The sequence below is a fragment of the Homo sapiens genome, chromosome 21 (genome assembly GCF_000001405.40).
Source record: "Homo sapiens chromosome 21, GRCh38.p14 Primary Assembly".
Lineage (NCBI taxonomy): Eukaryota > Metazoa > Chordata > Mammalia > Primates > Hominidae > Homo > Homo sapiens.
In genome coordinates, this window is record NC_000021.9 from 36,454,781 (window position 1) to 36,473,493 (window position 18,713).

General features: G+C 48.3%; 1 protein-coding gene and 1 long non-coding RNA gene across 11 annotated transcripts in view, besides 4 other annotated features; one reads left to right on the plus strand and one right to left on the minus strand.

Annotated features, from left to right (window-relative positions):
• CLDN14-AS1 (CLDN14 antisense RNA 1) overlaps positions 1 to 18,713 on the plus strand; it is a 68,202-nt gene that overhangs the window by 24,456 nt on the left and 25,033 nt on the right. The window contains exon 3 of one of the 4 annotated variants that reach the window (NR_183532.1): positions 5,510 to 5,981. The exons of the other annotated variants lie outside the window; for them this stretch is intronic. This is a non-coding gene — a long non-coding RNA (CLDN14 antisense RNA 1). Of the gene's footprint in view, positions 1 to 5,509; positions 5,982 to 18,713 lie in introns of those variants that run through there. 4 annotated transcript variants of the gene reach the window in all.
• Positions 5,841 to 18,713, minus strand: part of CLDN14 (claudin 14) — a 115,949-nt gene continuing 103,076 nt past the window's right edge. For 6 of the 7 annotated variants that reach the window (NM_001146077.2, NM_001146078.3, NM_001146079.2 and 3 more), the window contains one exon: positions 5,841 to 6,996. In NM_001146077.2, the coding sequence (NP_001139549.1) occupies positions 6,196 to 6,915 (720 nt within the window). In that variant the 5' untranslated portion in view covers positions 6,916 to 6,996 and the 3' untranslated portion in view covers positions 5,841 to 6,195. Of the gene's footprint in view, positions 6,997 to 11,586; positions 11,688 to 18,713 lie in introns of those variants that run through there. The other variant, NM_012130.4, reaches the window with a different exon arrangement.
• Positions 9,420 to 9,469: an enhancer, noted in NCBI's record as "active region_18434". NCBI's record gives its function as "activates an Ori minimal core promoter by ATAC-STARR-seq in GM12878 lymphoblastoid cells {active_cell/tissue: GM12878}" and the evidence as "EXISTENCE:reporter gene assay evidence [ECO:0000049][PMID:35858748]".
• Positions 9,716 to 10,313: an enhancer, noted in NCBI's record as "H3K27ac-H3K4me1 hESC enhancer chr21:37836794-37837391 (GRCh37/hg19 assembly coordinates)". NCBI's record gives its function as "activates a minimal SCP1, AML or CMV promoter by ChIP-STARR-seq in primed H9 embryonic stem cells {active_cell/tissue: H9 hESC(primed)}" and the evidence as "EXISTENCE:reporter gene assay evidence [ECO:0000049][PMID:30033119]".
• Positions 15,701 to 16,200: an enhancer, noted in NCBI's record as "H3K4me1 hESC enhancer chr21:37842779-37843278 (GRCh37/hg19 assembly coordinates)". NCBI's record gives its function as "activates a minimal SCP1, AML or CMV promoter by ChIP-STARR-seq in primed H9 embryonic stem cells {active_cell/tissue: H9 hESC(primed)}" and the evidence as "EXISTENCE:reporter gene assay evidence [ECO:0000049][PMID:30033119]".
• Positions 16,696 to 16,755: an enhancer, noted in NCBI's record as "active region_18435". NCBI's record gives its function as "activates an Ori minimal core promoter by ATAC-STARR-seq in GM12878 lymphoblastoid cells {active_cell/tissue: GM12878}" and the evidence as "EXISTENCE:reporter gene assay evidence [ECO:0000049][PMID:35858748]".

An 18,713-nucleotide genomic window follows, 5' to 3' on the forward strand; every position in this document is an offset into this window, starting at 1 on the left:
TCTCTGCTTTCTCCTCCTTCCTGCCACAGTGACCTTAAGCCACAGAGCATTGCCAATTCTAATTTTGTCTAAAATTGGTGCTTCTGGCAGAAGAAATGTGCTGTTGGCTTGCCTTTGAGCTTTGCCTGCCTCGGGTTAGCAAGGCCTCCGTCAGGGACTCTGTCTCCAGTCTACGCAGCATGCAAAGTCAGCCATGCTACCTGCCCTGACAGGGGCATCTGATGCCAGGTGAGGAGCCACCCATTCTGTTTGTAAGAGATGCAAAAACTGCCTTTGGGGGAATTGCAATTCATTCCCTTCAAGGCACTGAGATGGCCCTTACAGTGCACAGATGAAAAACCACTGCCAATTTAGCATTGTATTCTAGGACAAATAGGGGAAGGCTCACTCTGAGAATGAACGATGGGCCCAGGTGCTTGCTGGCCTCAGGAAAGGTGCTCAGCTCCACCTCCTGTTCTGCTGCCCTCTCCTCCCCCAAGACCCACACACATGAAGTCCTATTGGGTCTCCATGTAGCTCTTAGGAACTATTTTACTAAACCGTCGCTTACGTGCAGTAGGAAATTTGAAGTTCCAGTTGCATGAAAGTTTTCTCATGGTGAAGGGACTTTACGGGCATCTTCAAGTCACGTGAGCAAATGCTTTACTTTTCTCAGCCCCAGTTTTCCCGTCTGTGGAAGGAGGGTGAGGATGGTGCTGACTTCTTGTGTGGCTGTGAAGATCGAAGGTGGTAAATCTGTGCTGTTGATTGCTCCCTCCTCCTTGAAACGGGCTCTGCCCTTGGCTTCCAGGACGCTCCTCTTTTGGTTCCCCTTGCCCCCTGGGCATTTCTCACCTGGCTCCTGTGCTGAATCCCCCAGCCTCTGCTAGCTTCTATACGCCACTCTCTCTAGGGCTCGGCCCGGTCTCTCGGGTTCCTCATCTATATTCACCTCCAGTGTGATCTTTTCTAGTTGCATGGTTTAAATTCCATCTCTGGGCCAATCTCTCCAGCTCAGGGCTGTCCCTGAACTTATATATCTAAGTACCCACTCAACTTCTCCACTCAAGGTAGCTCACACCAAATAGATGAGAGCAAACTTGATCTACCTCATCAACACCCATTCTTTCTGGAATCTTCTTAATTTCAGAAAATGGTAATGCTCTTCTTCCAGTCGATCCAGTCCCAAGCCTTGGCATCATCTTTAAAGCATCTTTTTTTTTTTTCACTCTGCATGCCTGGCCATCAGGAAACCCTATCAGCTCTACCTGCAGACCCATCCCCATCTCTTCCCACCTCTCCACTGCCACCGCCTAGTCCAGACCCACATGGAGTCTACCTGCCTGGATTGTCACCATCCATGCTTCTCCTTCTGCCTGGCAGTGGGGGACAGGGGGACCAAGGCAGGGAGGCAGGATGGCGTTGTGGCCAAATGTGGGGCTTTGGGGCCAGGATTTTTGGGTGCAAATTCTGGTGCTGTCTTTGATTTCTTACTATCAATAAATTGATTGTTATTATACACATTTCAAATTGTGCTGTAGTTTTCAAATTATTTCCATTCAGGACCGCAGTGGTTGACATGAAAGTGGGATTTCTGGGACATTTCAGAAGGCTTTGATTTCAAGAGGCTAAATCTATGAAATCAATTAGGGTGTGTTGTCCAAGAGGGGAAACAGGTGCTTTCAGTATAGGAGGGGGCGGCTCCATCTCGGGAAACAGCTTCCCAGAAACTGCCTGGGAAAAAGGTTACTTTTTCTCTAGGGTCCTACAGGGTGGAAGATTCCAGTGCCTATTTAAAGGGAGGTATGAGGAGCACTGGGAGCTCCTAGGCTGTGAAGGCATCAGGCCTGGCAATCAGTGGGAAACCAGGGCGACCCCAAGGACTGAAGACCGACGCCCCCTTCCCTTCTAAGTCTAGGGCCTCCCTTAGTGCTGGGCCCCTGAGACCCCCTCAATGCAGGGGTAGGGGACCAGAAAACATGGCTGACTTTAATTTACATTTTTTCCCCATAATGACTTTAGATCTCTCTGGATTGGAGCCAAATTTGATTTGATTAAGAGAAATAAAGAAATGCAGCATTCTTAATCCATAAGAGTCATGCTGTAAATTTATGCCTATAACAACAGTTTTCTGGAACACATGAGTCAGACTCATGTTCCTTTTTCAGTCTGAAATGTGGGGTTGTGCATTGTACTTCCACAAGGAGATCATGCTTTTGTTGAAACAACCTTGGTTAAGAAATCCTAGTCCCAAAGATTTGGGTGGATACAGGCATCTCTCATGGCCAAGGTTGTAATGTGGCAAAGAGGGGCTCAGAGGACCCGAGGAATGGCGAGAGCCAGAGAGAAGGGAGAGCCAGGTGCTGCATTCTTACACCTGTTTCCTGAGTGTGGGAACCAAGGTCTTACGAAGGTCAACTTCCTGTCTGAGCTGGCCAGCTTTTGGATGACGGAGCCACGCGTGTCCCTTCCTGTGTGCCAGTTCCTGTTTCCCATGGGATTCCATCTTGGCCCTCTGGGTCTGACATCACCTTTCATCCAATCCAGCTAGGACCCAGTTAACACAAGCCCTGTAGAGTGATGGTTCTGCAAAGAGCCGAATATGGCCATGAAGCAATTCCCTGAGTTATTTGGATATAGTCTGGACATAAATGTGCTTAGATTATAGGTCATGTGTCTTCTTGAGTTAATGTATTCACCCCTTGCCTACCTGTCTGGGTTCAAATCCTGGGTCTTTTTCTTACTTGCTCTGTGACCCTGGGCAAGTAACTTAATCTCTTTGTGCTTTAGTTTTCTCCTTTGTAAAATGGGGTTAAGAATAATATTTAGCTAGTGCGGTGGCTCACCCTTATAATCCCAGCACTTTGGGAGGCTGAGGCAGGAGGATTGCTTGAGCCAGCCCGGGAGTTGGAGATCAGCCTGGGCAAAACAGTGAGACCCTGTCTCTTAAAAAAAAAAAAAAAAAAAATTTAGTCAGCTGTGTGGTGGTGGACACCTGTAGTCCCAGCTACTCAGGAGGCTGAGATGGGAGGATTGGTTGAGCCCAGGAGGCTGGACTGCAGTGAGCTGTGATTGAGTCACTGAACTCCAGCTTGGGTGACAGAGCAAGATCCTATCTCAAAAAACCAAAACAAAACAGAAAAAAAATAATACTATTTATCTCACATTGGATCAAATTAATAGATGAAAAGTATGCCTGATACATAGTAAGTGATCAATAAATAGTAATCACTATTACTTTCACCTGAGGAAGAAAGCGAGCCATATGTTATTTCAGTAGTGACAGAATTCAGAGAAAGAGTTTGAAAAAGTTATTTTTTCATGGCAGGGTGCGTTGGCTTGCTCTTGTAATCCCAGCACTTTGGGAGGCCAAGGTAGGTGGATCACTTGAGGCCAGGTGTTCAAGACCAGCCTGGCCAACATGGTGAAATCCCGTCTCTACTAAAAATACAAAAATTAGGCAGGCATGGTGGCAGGTGCCTGTAATCTCAGCTACTCAGGAGGCTGAACTGGGAGGATCCCTTGAACCTGGGATGTGGATGTTGCAGTGAGTCGAGATTGCGCCACTGCACTCCAGCCTGGGTGACAGAGCGAGACTCCATCTCAAAACAAAGTTATTTTTTCTTTCATTTGTAACAGGTCTGTTAACTAGAATAACTTCATAAAATGCTTTCTGGATGGTGCCCATCAAGCAAAGACAGACAGTATCATTCTGTTGGTAGAAAATTTTTTTCCTCCTTTTTATGGATTCAGATTTATTCCTTTTTTATAACTTAAAGAATAGATGACAACTGCTTGTTTTATCCTAAATAAATGAGGACCTCTCAGATCTCAATGCCTGGCCTAAATAGCATGGCAGATCCCAGCCTCCTCAGCTTCTCTGTGGTCAGATAAAGGCCAAGATGTGTTGCACCCACTCCTTCCAGAAGAGTCATCTGTTGCCTGGGGTCTAGAGGTTCATACAAAACAAACAAGAAGCCAGAAGCAGTGGCTCATGCTGGTAATCCCAGCACTTTGGGAGGCTGAGGCAGGAGGATCATTTGAGGTCAGGAGTTCAAGACCAGCCTGGCCAACATAGTGAAACCCCATCTCTACTAAAAATGCAAAAATTAGCCGGGTGTGGTGGCGTGCACCTGTAGTCCCAGCTACTTGGGAGCCTGAGTCAGGAGAATCGCTTGAACCCAGGAGGTAGAGGTTGCAGTGAGTGGAGACTGTGCCACTGCACTCCAGCCTGGGCACACAGAGCAAGACTCCATCTCAAACAAACAAACAAAAAAGAAATATGTAAGTATGTGTACAGCTGTTCCTTCAATCCTCCACTCTTCAATATTGCTAGGAGGCCCCTGAGGGATTTTATCACAACATAGTTTATTAGGTATAAATGGCAGAGCCTAAAGCAATCAGAAGAGGGCTGCCTGGTGGGCACATGTTACCGGTGTGAGCCTTGGCCAGTGGAGAAGCAGGTGCCTGACCCACTCAGGCCAGGAGGAGGCACCAAGTCAGGAGAGCGTTAGCAGGCCTCAGGCCTTGTTGATTCCGGGGCTCTGGGCTGTGGGCTGCTTGGCCTGCCCTTTCGACACCAGTTCTCAAGCCTCTTGACCACTGTACTAGAGCCTCCCTGGCACTGATACCAGGGTCTCAGCAGGCCATTCAAGCGAGCCTGGCCAGCTGGCTACTGCGGCTCTTCCCTGCATGCAGTGACTGCTGGAACCCTGACTCCCAGACTGCAGAGAATAGAGGGACTTCACGTGACAGCCCCTCTGTGTGTAGGTCTCAGGCCAAGCCCTTCCATGGAGTGAGCTGTTTCCTCCCACATTCAGAGCCTCAGGTTGGGGACAGAGGCATGAGCAGGTGCTGTCCGAGGTGGGCCAAGGACATGAGCCCATGTGGATGTCAGAGCAGGCCCAGGCTCCCTGGGCTGCTGGGGGGTGTGTGTCACCATGTGACTTAGATCATGGCCAGCAGGGATCAGCAGTGTTCTCAGAGCCATCAGGCCTCCCCCAGCTTCCCAGACATTTTTCGCAGCTGCAGGAACAGCCACAGATGCTAGGACCTGTTCTCATTGCATCCAGGACTGGCCACCCCAGAAAAGAAGCCAGTGAAGTCCCAGTGGGGCCCTTGGGGGCAAGTGGTGCTCCTAACTGGGCTTTTTGCCAAAGCCTAGAAAGCTAAGACACCAACCATGTTTCACTCCATTTTTCCTTTTTTTTTTTTTTTGAGACAGAGTCTCACTCTGTCGCCCAGGCTGGAATGCAGTGGTTCAATCTCGGCTCACTGCAACCTCTGCCTTCTGAGTTCAAGTGATTCTCCTGTTTCAGCCTCCTGAGTAGCTGGGATTACAGGTGCCCACAACCGCACCCAGCTAATTTTTGTATTTTTATAAGAGATGAGGTTTCAGCATGTTGGTCAGGCTGCTCTCAAACTGTGACCTCAGGTGATCCGCCCGCCTCAGCCTCCCAAAGTGCTGGGATTACAGGCATGAGCCACCATGCCCGGCCCCGTTTCCTTCTGACTCTTGTTTTTTTACCAGTGGGGACCTATTGCTCACAGGAAGAAAAAAACAGCGTCCTTATTTTGTGACTTCTGGCAACTGTCTTTTTCCGAGGAAGCCCCTTCCCTTCTGCCCTGCCTCTGAGTTCAAGCCGGGATGCAGCTCCTAGTGTTTTCAAGCGTCTTACAGATGGAGATCAGCCCCGTCTTCCTCCAACGTCCCCACCCCGCATCGGAGTCAGGACTCCACGGTGCTGTGGTCAGCACGGCTGCATGGTCCTGCGACCCTGAGCCCCAGTGGGCTCTGACTGTGGTTACCAGCGCCTTAGGAGACAGAGTAACAGTCTGGAAGCAGAAACAGAGACTGTCCATTTCATAAACAGCCACATCCGCAAGGTTTATTCCTGGATCACAAACCAACCCCACTGACCAAACTCCCAAGTCACTTTATATTAAACTTGTTATCAAATCACCCACATAAATATATATAATAAATACAAAAACAGACAGGATTTTTTTTTTCAGTCTTTGGTATAGAGAGCTTTCTCCTCCTCTTATTTCCCCCTCTGTCCCTGTGCTCTAAAGACATTTCCTCGCATTCACATTATTTCCTTGGATACAAAAATTGCCCAGAAGTAAACTTTGTGCTGGAACCCCTGCCTCCATTGACAGTCCCGCCGGGGACCCAGCCCACAGCAGCCCAGGGGAGAAGCAGGCTGTGGGGACTCACACGTAGTCGTTCAGCCTGTACCCGCTGTGCGTGGCCGAGGTCACTGAGGGGGCCCGATTGTCTTTGTAGGCAGCTGGTGGCTGGTAGGCAGGTGCGGTGTTTGCAGTGGTCGTGGTGGCCCTGGGCGGGGCCTGGTAGGGCCTGTAGGGTGCCTCGTCCTGGCAGGACAGGCAAAGCAGGGTGCCACCAATGAGCGAGAGGGACGAGGAGATGAAGCCCAGGTACAGGGCCTGGCCAATCTCAAACTTCATGCCGCTGGGCAGCAGCGGGTTGTAGAAGTTCTGCACCACGTCGTTGGTGGTCCAGGAGACGGCCACCATGCACAGGAGGCCGGCCAGGATGAAGAGGGTGCCGCCGAGGATGGCAAAGGTGGTCTTGGCGGGTGTGCCCTTGGCGCAGCGCGTGCACTTCATCCCGATGACGGCGCAGGCGCAGGCTATGCCCGAGAGCAGGCAGGAGATGACCATGAGGGCGCGGGCAGCCTGGAGGTCTTGGGGCAGCGCCAGCAGGGATCGGTAGATCTGGCACTGGTAGATGCCTGTGCTGTGCCACACACACTCCATCCAGAGCCCTTTCAGGTAGGACACGGCCGTGAGGATGTTGGTGCCCACGTGCGCTGTCCTCCGCCAGTGCGGCAGGATGGTGGTGATCAACGTGCCCACCATGCCCAGGAAGCTGAGCAGGAAGCCCAGAAGCTGCACGGCCGTGCTGGCCATGGTGCGGCTGCCTGCCTAGGCCAGCCGGGCAGCTCCCTGGGCCCTCGGGGTCACGCCGCTCCTCAGGTGCCAGCCGGAGCCCTAATGAAGCCAAGGGAGGCGGGAGCAGGGAGAGAAAGGAAATGGGTTAAAGATTATCTCATGCACTTATTTCTGTCACCGAAACCAAGTTTTTCATAGGTGGTTGGTGTGGCAATTAGCATGTTCTCAAAAATAGTTTCTGAGACTTCACTGGGTGGGAGAGTAACTGCTTTCCTGGGAAGGTGGGATCTGAAGGGATGACAGCCGGACGCTGGCCTCAGGGAAGGGTTCCAGCCACCTGCCGGAAGTTCTGCTTATGTCCACCCTTGAGCACTGCTGCTGCATTGGCATCTCCTGTCCTTCCTGGTTCATCAGTAACCAGGAATAACAGTTGTTAAATCAACATGTATTATTCATGCCTTGGACTGACAGTGCTAAGGTGTGTGCCAGCTGTGACTTAGAATATAGCCCTGGGCGGTTGTCAGGATGAGGGGTTTTCTGAAGTAGGCAACTTCCCCACCCACGTGCTCGGGCAGGGAGAGGTTTAGTCCCCTCGGCAAGTCAGATGCTGCCTTCAGAATTCCAGAGCTGGATGTGACCTAGAGATTGTCAGCTGATGCCGGGGCAGGAATTTCCAAGGTCACAGCTCCTCAGGAGCTGCGGCAGGAGCACGGGCCAGCATCCCTCCTCTCCAGCACGGACCTCCGCTCCCAACACGCTCCCCATTCACTATGCCTGCTTGTGACTGGTGAGGGCTGTCCGAGGGTGACTTTATTATAAAACAGAGGCTGCTACCTGGCTTTCAGGGATATGGGAATGCTGAGCCCTTTCAAAGGCTTTTAAAGAATTCTTAGCATACCAAAATCCAGGATACTTTTTCGGGACAAGGACCCAGCATCAACATAGGGCCAGGCATATAGAAGACACTAAGGGCCAGGCACGGTGGTTCACGCCTGTAATCCCAGCACTTTGGGAGGCCGAGGCAGGTGGATCACCTGAGTTCAGGAGTTCAAGACCAGCCTGGCCAACATGGTGAAACCCCGTCTCTACTAAAATACAAAAATTAGCCAGGCATCCCGTAATCCCAGCTACTCGGGAGGCTGAGGCAGGAGAATCGCTTGAACCAGGAAGGCTGAGGTTGCAGTGAGCCGAGATCGCGCCACTGCACTTCATCCTGGGCGACAGAGTAAGACTCCGTCTCAAAAAAACAAAACAAGCAAACAAACAAAAAAAAACACTAGGAAATATAGAAGGAAGGAAGGAGAGAGGGAAGAAGAGGAGGGAGGGAGGAAGGAGAAAGCAAGGAAGGGGGAGCACAGAGAAAGGAAGGAAAAAAAGGAAGGGATGAAGGCAGAAAAGGAAGGGAGTGGAAGTCTTGAGTGGACCACTAGCTTTTCTCTCCTGCCTGGGGCAAGGTAATCAGCGAGACCGGGCATTAGCAGCGAGCATTAGGAGGTCCCAGCCCTGGCTGCGCCCATCCAGTGGGCGACCTGGGGCTCAGCTTCTTTTTTGGTTCTGAAGGGAGAAAAGGGAAGCGTCTCTGCTGATGACAAGTCACTTCAGCGTCCCAAACCAGCAAAGAATCAGTAGGCAAAACCTGCTTCTTCTTCTGCAGAGAGCTGAGCCTCAGTTAAGCAGTGCAGGCTGCAGGCAGGAAAAGCGGGTCTGCAGGGTGTTGCCCATGAGACCCTGGGACATTGTCAAGAAATCCCCATCGGGGCTCGGCGGCTCACGCCTGTAATCCCAGCACTTTGGGAGGCTAAGGCGGGTGGATCGCTTAAGGTCAGGAGTTTGAGACCAGCCTGGCCAACATGGTGAAAACCTGCCTCTACTAAAAATACAAAAATTAGCTGATCGATGGTTGTGTGCACCTGTCATCCCAGCTACTCAGGAGGCTGAGGCAGGAGAATCGCTTGAACCGGGAGGCGGAGGTTTCAGTGAGACTGGATCATGCCATTGCACTCCAGCCTGGGCAACAGAGCAAGACTCTGTCTTGAAAAATAAATAAAATAAAATGAAATAAAATAAATCAATAAATAAATCCTCTACTAGATGTAAATCACTTGGTAAGTAAATAATTAATAACTGATGCTTCCACTGGGAGTCTAAACCATCATCTTGCTAATTTAAAAACATATACTGGGTTTAAATACTTTGGCATTGTAGGAGGTAATTGGTTCTGTCCTGGTGAATGAACAAACAAAAATAAATAATAACAAAACAACGTGGTGCCTCACAGGACACGGAGTGGACTGAAGGTGTGTCCAGGTGATAGGGTTTGGATTTGTGTCCCCACCCAAATCTCATGTCGAATGGCAGTCCCCAGTGTTGGAGGAAGGGCCTGGTGGGAAGCAAATGAATCACGGGGGTGGACCTCCCCCTTGCTCTTCTTGTGATAGTGAGTGAGTTCTCACGAGATCTGGTTGTTTAAAAGTGTGCAGCACCTGCCTGCTCCCCTCTCTCTCTTCCTCCTTCTCCGGCCGTGTCATGCCTGCTTCCCCTTTGCCTTCTGCCGTGATTGTAAGTTTCCTAAGGCCTCCCCAGCCACGCTTCCTGTACAGCTTGTGAGAGCCAATGAAACCTCTTTTCTTTATAAATTAACCAGTCTCAGGTAGTTCTTTGACTCAGGTTGCATTGCGAGAACGGACTGATACACCGAGTATTTTTCTGCTGCTGTTTTTCTGCTGCTGCTTTGGGTGACTATTTGTTCACAGCCCAGAATTTGCCACACGCACTATGCACGATGCTGGCTTTGCACAAAGCCTCTCTTCCCTCCACTCAGCAAGCACTCACTCTGTCCAGGGGCTAGGGACGCCATCACAGTCCCTGCTGGCCAGAGAAGGACCGGGGCCGGCTGTCCTATGCTCACTGCCCTGGGGGAGGTGCTGGCAACAAGGCCAAGGTGGCCACCCTGATAGGCACAGCCAGAGGGGGTGCCAGCGGACCCACCCTGCACCCTGAGCACACCGATGGCACCAGCTGACTGAGCCTGAGCATGGTTTGAACACTGACACATTTCCTAGTTTATTCCCAACAACCTAATGTGGCAGTGACTGTTACCATCCCCTTTTTACACATGGGGAAACGAGAGGAGCAGAGGATGAAAGTTCTGTGCCTGGCCTGGCTAGTGTTCTCCTTGCTGTCATTTCCCCTTTAAGAAACACTACCTGCTTCAATGACATAGGACTGAAGTTAGTGTAAGGGCTGAGGGATGGTGTGAGCAACAGATTCTCCTTCCCACAGAGATCTCAGAACAATGGCCTTGCCCCTTTTGCAGTGGTTTGGGCAGCCAGGGCAACCAACTGCCCTGCTTTGCTAGGGACTGAGGGGTTGCCCAGGACAGGGACCTTCAGGGCTGAAACTAAGACAGTCCCAAGGAAACCAGGACCAGAGGCTCCTCCAGGTGCCCAGATCTCCGAATGGCCTCTGAGATCTCTTCCTGCCCTGCTTTGAGGCTGCCTCAAGGCTGACGGCCACACAGGGTGTCCCTGGTCCAAGCATAATGGGGCTTCTTGCAGCTCTCACTGTCAAGGTCAATAATTAAGTATACAGACCCTAAAGAATGTGGCATAAAAGCCAAGCCCATTAGGCTAGGCAAGTGGACCAGAGGTTTATTGGAGGTCTAAATATTTATGGAGAGCAATGATGGCTAATTTTAGAAACCATTAGGTTGCTATTTTTAAACGTGTGCTATAAGGATTTGCTAATTTAAGAAGTGAGTGTTAATGAGCCCCCAACTCCCAGACACAAGCTCCCCAACCTGCTTTCCTTCTTCCTTACCAGCAGCTGCTACTGGCATTAGGTAATAATTCAACTTCCCCGCAACTACTTTTCACTTTGGGGCCTTTCAAGGGAAAAACAACTTTAACTGAACGCATCTCCCTGGAAGCCACATAAAATTCCTCCGTGATGCTCCGGAAGCGCCCTGCCCTGCAGGGCTGTTTGTATAGGAAGGAACTAGCCCAAGCCTGGCCTCCCAGGGGGAGCAGCCCATGCAGGGCTGAACTGGTGTTCACCTGTGGGCTACCATTTTCCTGCAGCCACGTGTGTGCATGTGGGAAGATTTGCTAGAGAGATACGGATCCAAAACAAATAGGGTTCCAAGCATCAAGCTCTAGAAAGCCCTCGACAGGCTGAGTAGTGGTGGGAAGGCAGAATCTAACAAGATGTGTTAGAGGATCAGTACTGGGTCCTGCATTTGGGTTCACAAAACCCCAAAAGTACAATCCTGGGTGGGGAGTATGTGGCTTAGCTGCACCTGAGAGCAGGATTTAGGGCTGAGTTTCCCAACGACAGCATCTTGGAATGCTGCATTTGCAGGATGTCTTGTGTGGAGGACACAAATGTCAAATATGTTTAAGAAAACCTGCGTGACTGTAGGACTTCTCATAGCTGGAAACGTGTCAATGTGCATCGTGACTCTCCCAGGAAATGTCTCATGGGCAGCATCCGCTAAACTTATTTGACTAGAGACACCCCCCTGCACCCCCTTTACCAAAGAACAATTTGCAATGAAATCACTTTGGCACAATAACTTGGACTTGGCAATGGTGAGATAGAGTGGGTTGCTGTATTAGTTTGTTCTCATGCTGCTATGAAGAACTGCCCGAGACGGGTAATTTATAAAGGAAAGAGGTTTAATTGACTCACAGTTCCGCAGGACTGGGGAGGCCTCAGGAAACTTACAATCCTGGCAGAAGGTGAAGCAAACACATCCTCTTTACATGGCAGCAGGAAGGAGAAGAATGAGGGCTGAGCCGAGGGTGAGGCCCCTTATAAAACCATCAGATCTCATGAGAACTTACTCACTATCATGAGAATAGCATGGTGGAAACCACCGACATGATTCAATTACCTCCCACTGGGTCCCTCCCCACGACACGTGGGGATTATGGGAACTACAATTCAAGATGAGATTTGGATGGGGACACAGACAAACCATATCATTCTGCCCTGGCCCCTCTCAAATCTCATGTCCTCACATTTCAAAACACAATCATGTCCTTCCAACAGTCCCCCAAGGACTTAACTCATTCCAGCATTAACTCAAAAGTCCAAGTCCAAAGTCTCGTTTGAGACAAGGCAAGTCCCTTCTGCCTATGAATCTACAACATCAAAAGCAAATTAGTTACTTCCTAGATAGAATGGGGGTACAGGCATTAGGTAAATACCCCTATTCCAAATGAGAGAAATTGACCAAAACAAAGAGGCTACAGGCCCCATGCAAGTTCGAAATCCAATAGGGCAGTCATTAAACCTTAGAGTTTTGGTCGACTTCATCCCCAGCAGAGAGAGTATCAGAAAACGACAGAGCGGTAAAGAATTTTGAAAATCTGTGAAAGGCAATTGTGAAATGCTAGAGCTGCTATAGGCCCTTCCAACTGGCTCTGGTTTCAGGATCACCAGCTCTGAAGGGAGGGGGTTTTTCTGTGTGTGTCCATATAAACTTTTATGTTGTCTCCCTCTGTTTTCTCTGAGCTATGTTTTTCTTTAAAAAAGCAGGGTTCTGGAGCACACAGTAGGGTGCCCTCATTTTGCTCACCTCCTGGCCCACCTGGACCCCAGCTGCGTCAACTTTGGCTCCAAATTAATCATCATTTCAACAGCAGTGGCCATGGGGATCGCCTGGCCAGGACTGAGGGGTGGACGTGTTGTTTACCAGCCTGCGTCTTGACTGCCTGGGGTCCCTCCCTGGGCATGTCTGTTTCATCCTTCACTTTGTCCTATCTTCAGAAGTCCTTTCTCTAGTTCTTCAGGGTGTGTGCTGGGGCCTCTGTCAGTCCAGGCTTCTTGGAGGGGTGCGGGGGTGGGACGAGGCCACCCTATCTCACCATTGGTCCAAGTGACTGTGCCAAAGTGATTTTACTGCAAGTTCTTCTTTGGTAAAGGCGGTGGTGGGGGGTGTCTCTAGTCAAATAAGTTTAATGGATGCTGCATATGAGACCAGGCTTCTTGGAGGGGTGCAGGGATGGGATGGGTGGGGTGTTTGAGTCCCTTACTCTCCTTAACCCTCAGCAGTCTCACCTGCTACTGTCACCTCATCCCTTGCAAAATCAGCCCCTGTGATGAAAGCTTTCCTATGGACACACATTGCTCCGTGGCCCTTGTCTACCCACCTTGGTGAAAGAAATGTCAGCCCCAGATGGGAGGGGTGGAGGACATCAGCGGGGAGCTGGGGCACAAGCCAGGTGTGTGGTGGAAGTTTCTTTACCCAGAACTGCCCTGAGCCCTACTGTGCAGGTAGAGAATTGGAGGATGTGGCCACCAGTGCCTTTTGCCTGCCATGTGGTCTGAATGGCTCTCGAGATGTTTGGGAACGAGCCATTATATATGTTTGCCCTCAAATGCTCTGACATGATGTTGGGTCCATTATAGAAACAGCGTAAAACTTGATTTGCTTTCTGTAAACTTATTAGAGAAAAATGAAGTGCCACCTTCAAATGAACATAGTCATTGGCCCTTCAACGTTGATGTTCAGCCACTTCAGAAAATGTCTGGTTCAAAAACCTGAATGTCCTCACTGTCACCCCAACCAAATGGCCTCTTCATTACTGTTTAGCTATTTCATAAATGCTTTAGGCTGGAGATGGTGGCTCACACTTGTAATCCCAGCATTTTGGGAGGCTGAGGTGGGCAGATCACCTGAGGTCGGGAGTTTGAGACCAGCCTGGCCAACATGATGAAACCCCGTCTCTACTAAAAATACAAAAATTAGCCGGGTGTGGTGATGCATGCCTGTAATCCCAGCTACTTGGAGGCTGAGGGAGGAGAATCGCTTGAAGGTTGCAGTGAGCTAAGATTGCACCACTGTACTCTAGCCTGGGTGACAGAGTGAGACTCTGTCTCAAACAAAAGAAAATAAACAAAATCATAAATGCTTGAATTTAGGAACTAAAAATAAACTCAGGGGAGATTTGGATTCATTTAGATAAGACATATTAGCAAAACTACCTAACACAGAGAAAAGAAAGTAACTCTTACGCTATGATGTATCTGCATGAAGTAACTTCAACTAGTATTACTTTTTTCTTTTTCTTTCTTTCTTTCTTTCTTTTTTTTTTGAGACAGAATCTCGCTCTGTCACCCAGGCTGGAGTACAGTGGCACGATCTTGGCTCAGTGCAACCTCTGCCTCCCAGGTTCAAGTGATTCTCCTGCCTCAGCCTCCAGAGTAGCTGGGATTACAGGCCCCCACTACCACGTCTGGCTAATTTTTGTATTTTTAGTAGAGAGATGGTTTCACCATGTTGGCCAGGTTGGTCTTGAACTCCTGGCCTCAAGTGATCCACCCACCTCTGCCTCCCAAAGTGCTAGGATTACAGGTGTGAGCCACTGTGCCCGGACTCAGCTAGTATTTCCTAAGGGCATCTTGGACACTGTGTTTCTTAATCATGTGCGAAACAAACGCATATCTTTTCAAGAAGCTTAGGGATACTTTAGAGGGGCTATTTTTAGCACATCTTCTTACAGAAATATGTAAGAATGATGAGAAAGCGATCAAGCAATACCTTGGAAAAACCACTTCATATTCATTTCACATGGGCTATACTGTGGGGTGTTGGCTCTAAAAATAATATTTTCTTCATTACTATTCCAAACTTTCTGTAACTTTCCTTGGGTTATTTTTCAGACTGGCAGGCATCTAGATTTTAAATGTGTGAGGACTTTCTATACCATCCGCATAGAGTCTTTGATGCACTCTTTCCATGAGAGGCAGAGACGGGATACTTACGTGACTACGACTTATTACTATCATGATAGTTACTGCTTGCTATTGTTATTTAGGAAAACCAATGTGAAGTATCTTACTCAAAATCACACGGAAATGACACGTTCCATGAATTCCTCCTGTCTCTTTTGGATGAAGAAATAAAAATCTATTTTTTTATAACAAGAACTGATTCGAAGAAAAGTTTATGTGAATACAAATGAAAACCATGGATGCAGTTAAATGCTAACAGAGGCTATTTTCAACTCAGTAAGATTGAATGACCTATTGATTTACCGAAAACTACAAACTTAAGTCACCATGACCACAAAAATTAAAACCCTTTCTGGAGGCATTATCTCTCTCATTTCAACTCACCAAATTTCATTAGAATTCATTTAAAATGCAGTAGATCAACATTTAGAAATGAAATGAGTTTCATTTACTTAAATACATGAGTGCCTTTTCAGAGCGATTTTTCCCGACAAGACAGTCAGGCAGGTTTGCTATGTTGCTGTTTTTGTTGTTGTTGTTTTTCATTTTTCAAGGTGCAGGTCATTAAAAACTTGTCATCTGAGATTAAAAAAAATACTAGAAAAGTAAAACAAAACAAAAACAAAAACAACAACAAAAAAACAATACCCCAAAAAACCCAGGTGGACATACAAACATTTCCTCAAGCCTTAGCTGATTGTTGGATGACTTATGGTTAAGTGTTCTGTGGGAACACTTTATCTAGGGGATGCAATGGATTGACCTGGTCCCCCAAAAGAGATATGTTGAAGTCTTCCCTGCTCCCAGTGCCTCAGAATGTGACCTTATTTGGAAATAGGGTCATTGCAGATGTAATTAGTTAAGATAAGGTCATACGTAAAATAGAGTGGCCCCTAAGCCAATAGGGCTGGTGTCCTTATAAGAGGATGGGCATATGAAGACGGAGATAGAAAGAACATGTGCAGACGGAGGCAGAGAGTGGAGCGAGAAGTTACCAAGTCAAGGAATGTGGAGGATCGCCAGCAACCCGCGGAGAATCGCCAGCAACCCGCAGAGGCCCAGCAGGAGGCCCAGGACAGATGCTCCCTCACAGCCCTGGAAGGAACCAGCCTGCCCACACCTTAGTTTCAAGCTTCCAGCCTTCAGAATCATGACAGAATAAATTTCTGTTGTTTCAGGCCTCCCAGGTTGTGGTGCTTTGTCATGGCAGCCCCAGGAAACAAACACAGCAGAGTAGCTGAATGGTGGCACGGGGAATTACAGAGAAAATGCTCGGCCAGGCCCCATGGCACAGGCCTATAATCCCAACACTTTGGGAGGCTGAGGTGGGAGGATCACTTGAGCTGAGGAGTTCAAGACCAGCCTGGTCAACATGGTGAAACCCTATTTCCACTAAAAATAAAAAAAAATTAGCTGGGCATGGTGGCTCAAGCCTATAATCCCAGCTACTTTGGAAGCTGAGGTGGGAGGATGGCTTGAGCCTGGGAGGCATAGATTGCAATAAGCAGAGATTGTGCCACTGCACTCCAGCCTGAGTGAGAGAGCAACATCGTATTTCAAAAAGCAAACAAACAAAAAAACCTCATTTGTGATTATAAGAACTGCGTCCCCTTCCAGGACAGGCATTGAGTGTGATCTGGTGGCTTCACATTTGTCATTGATAAAAACAGGCCAGGTGCAGTGGCTCACACCTGTAATCTCAACATTTGGAAGGCCAAGGTGGGAGGACTGCATGATTCCAGGAGTTCGAGGCCATTCCTGAGCAGCATAGTGAGATCCTGTCTCTACAAAAAACAAACAAACATAAAAACAAAAAACAAAGCCATGGTTAGCTTCATGTCTCAAAGTGTGGAGGACAAAATCTAAGGAAAAGGTAGAGGACATGGAGAAAGAAGAATCTGGAAAGTCCCCTGCAAATTTGAAAATTCAAGTGCAAACACAATCTATAGTAAGTAAGCCATATAGTAATCAAATGACTCAGCTTCTCCAGGCTTAAAAAGTGTGTGAATTCACTTAGCTCACAGAGAGTTTGGGGGGGCTCATGTCTCCAGCTTGTGTGCAATTGGCTGGGGTATAATTGGTGACTGACCTTTTCAGGCTGGGTGTCTGGTTTTCTTAAGTCAACATGTCTTGATTTCATAGAGCATAAAAGCCCCAAATTTGGGGCAGAGTCCAGATTTGAATAAGGTGACTCAGAAGCCTGCTGAAGCTTTACCTTGGAAATCCAGCAGAGCCCACTAGGCTCCGCCTTTAGTCAGGACTTACAGCAAAATAGAAAAAGAAAGCAAACCCCAAACAAGCAATAGGACATTGTCACACCTGGCTGAAAACCTTCATGAATTAGACAACTATTCTGTGAATTTCGTAAGCCTCTGAAAATTATTTACTTGAGAATTGAACTGGGGATAAACTGCAGTGGTTAAAATGTGTCAAATGAAAACATAAGGCTAAGATTTTCTAATGGTAAGGAAAATACTATTAAACATGAGGTTTAAAACTCATTCTCTGTAAATTTAGCCTTTGAAGCCCAGGTGCTCCAAAGCAGTTAGTTGTTAATGATAAGAGTAAAAACAGTCATAGTTAAAGTTCCAGAGTGTTTATGATATGCCAAACATGTGCTAAGTGCTTCTGTGGGCATGCAATGAACTCTTAAACAAATCGCAATGCGCATTTTGCCATCTTTATTTACAGATAGGGAAACTGAAGTGTAGAAAGGTTACATAACTTGTCCAAGGTTACGTCTGGGCTGAATTAGGGAGACCAAACAGGAGGTTCTTGTGATCTTTCAGGTAAGAGATGCCAGGAGGCCGAGCCAAGGTGGTGGAAATAAAGGTGGGTGCCAGGAAGAGGTCAGTTTCTATATTCAGGTGAGGCTAGCGGGATGTGCTGATGGTTTAGCTGCGGGGTGTGAGACACAGGTGCCTAAGGTTATTGTCTTGGGCAACTGGAGGAATGGAGTTGCCACTTATTGAGAGCTTGAAGAGGGTTGGAGATCTGGGTTTGGAGGATGTGATGATCAATTTTTTGTGTCAACTTGGCTGGGCCATGGGGTGCCCAGATATATGATTGAACACTATTCTTCATGTTTCTGTGAAGTTAGTCCTTGGACAAGGTTAACATTGAAAGCAGATTGCCCTCCATAGTGTGGGTGGGCCACACCCAGTCAGGTGAAGGCCAGACTGGAACCAGAAAAAACTGGTGTCTCCATCAGCTCAGGCTGCCACAACAAAATACCACAGACTTGCTGGATTAAGCCACAGAAATTAATTTTCTCACAATTCCGGAGGCTGGAAAGTCCAAGACCAAGGTTCTGGCTGCTTGGGTTCCTGGTGGAAATTCACCTGACGTCTTCTTTGCATGCAGGCAGAGGAAATCTTTCTCTCTTTCCCTTCTTTTTAGAGCACGAATCTCATTGTGAGGGCACCCACCCTCATGACCTCATTGAACCCTAATGACCTCCCAAATGTCCCGTCTCCAAATACTATCACATCGGGGCTTAGGGCTCCAACATAGGAATTTTGGGAGAATGCAAATGTTTAGTCCATAACATGCAGCTTCACCTGAGCAAGAAACTCTCTCCAACAGACTGTGTTTGACCTTTATTTCCAACATCAGCCCTTCTCAGCTCTATAGCAGGCTGCCTTCCAACTGAAACTGCAGTGTCCGTGATCCTGGGTCTCCAAACTGCTAGCCCACCCTGCAGAATTTCATTTTATAGATGGGCTCTTGCTATATTGCCCAGGCTGGTCTTGATCTCTCAGGCTCAAGTGATCCTCCCACCTCAGCTTCCTGAGTAGCTGGGACTACAGGCATGTGCCATCACACTTGGCTAATTTCTAAAAATGTTTTATAGAGATGGAGGTCCCACTATGTTGCCCAGCCTGGTCTTGAACTCCTGGGCTTAAGCAATCCTCCAACCTTGGCCTCCCAAGGCTGTTGGAATTACAGGTGTGAGCCACTGTGCCTGGCCCACCCTGCAGATTTTGGACTTGCCAGCCTTGAGAATCATGCAAGCCAATTCCTTAGAATAAATAGATCTCTTTCTATATAAATGCATATTCGATTGGCTCTGTTTC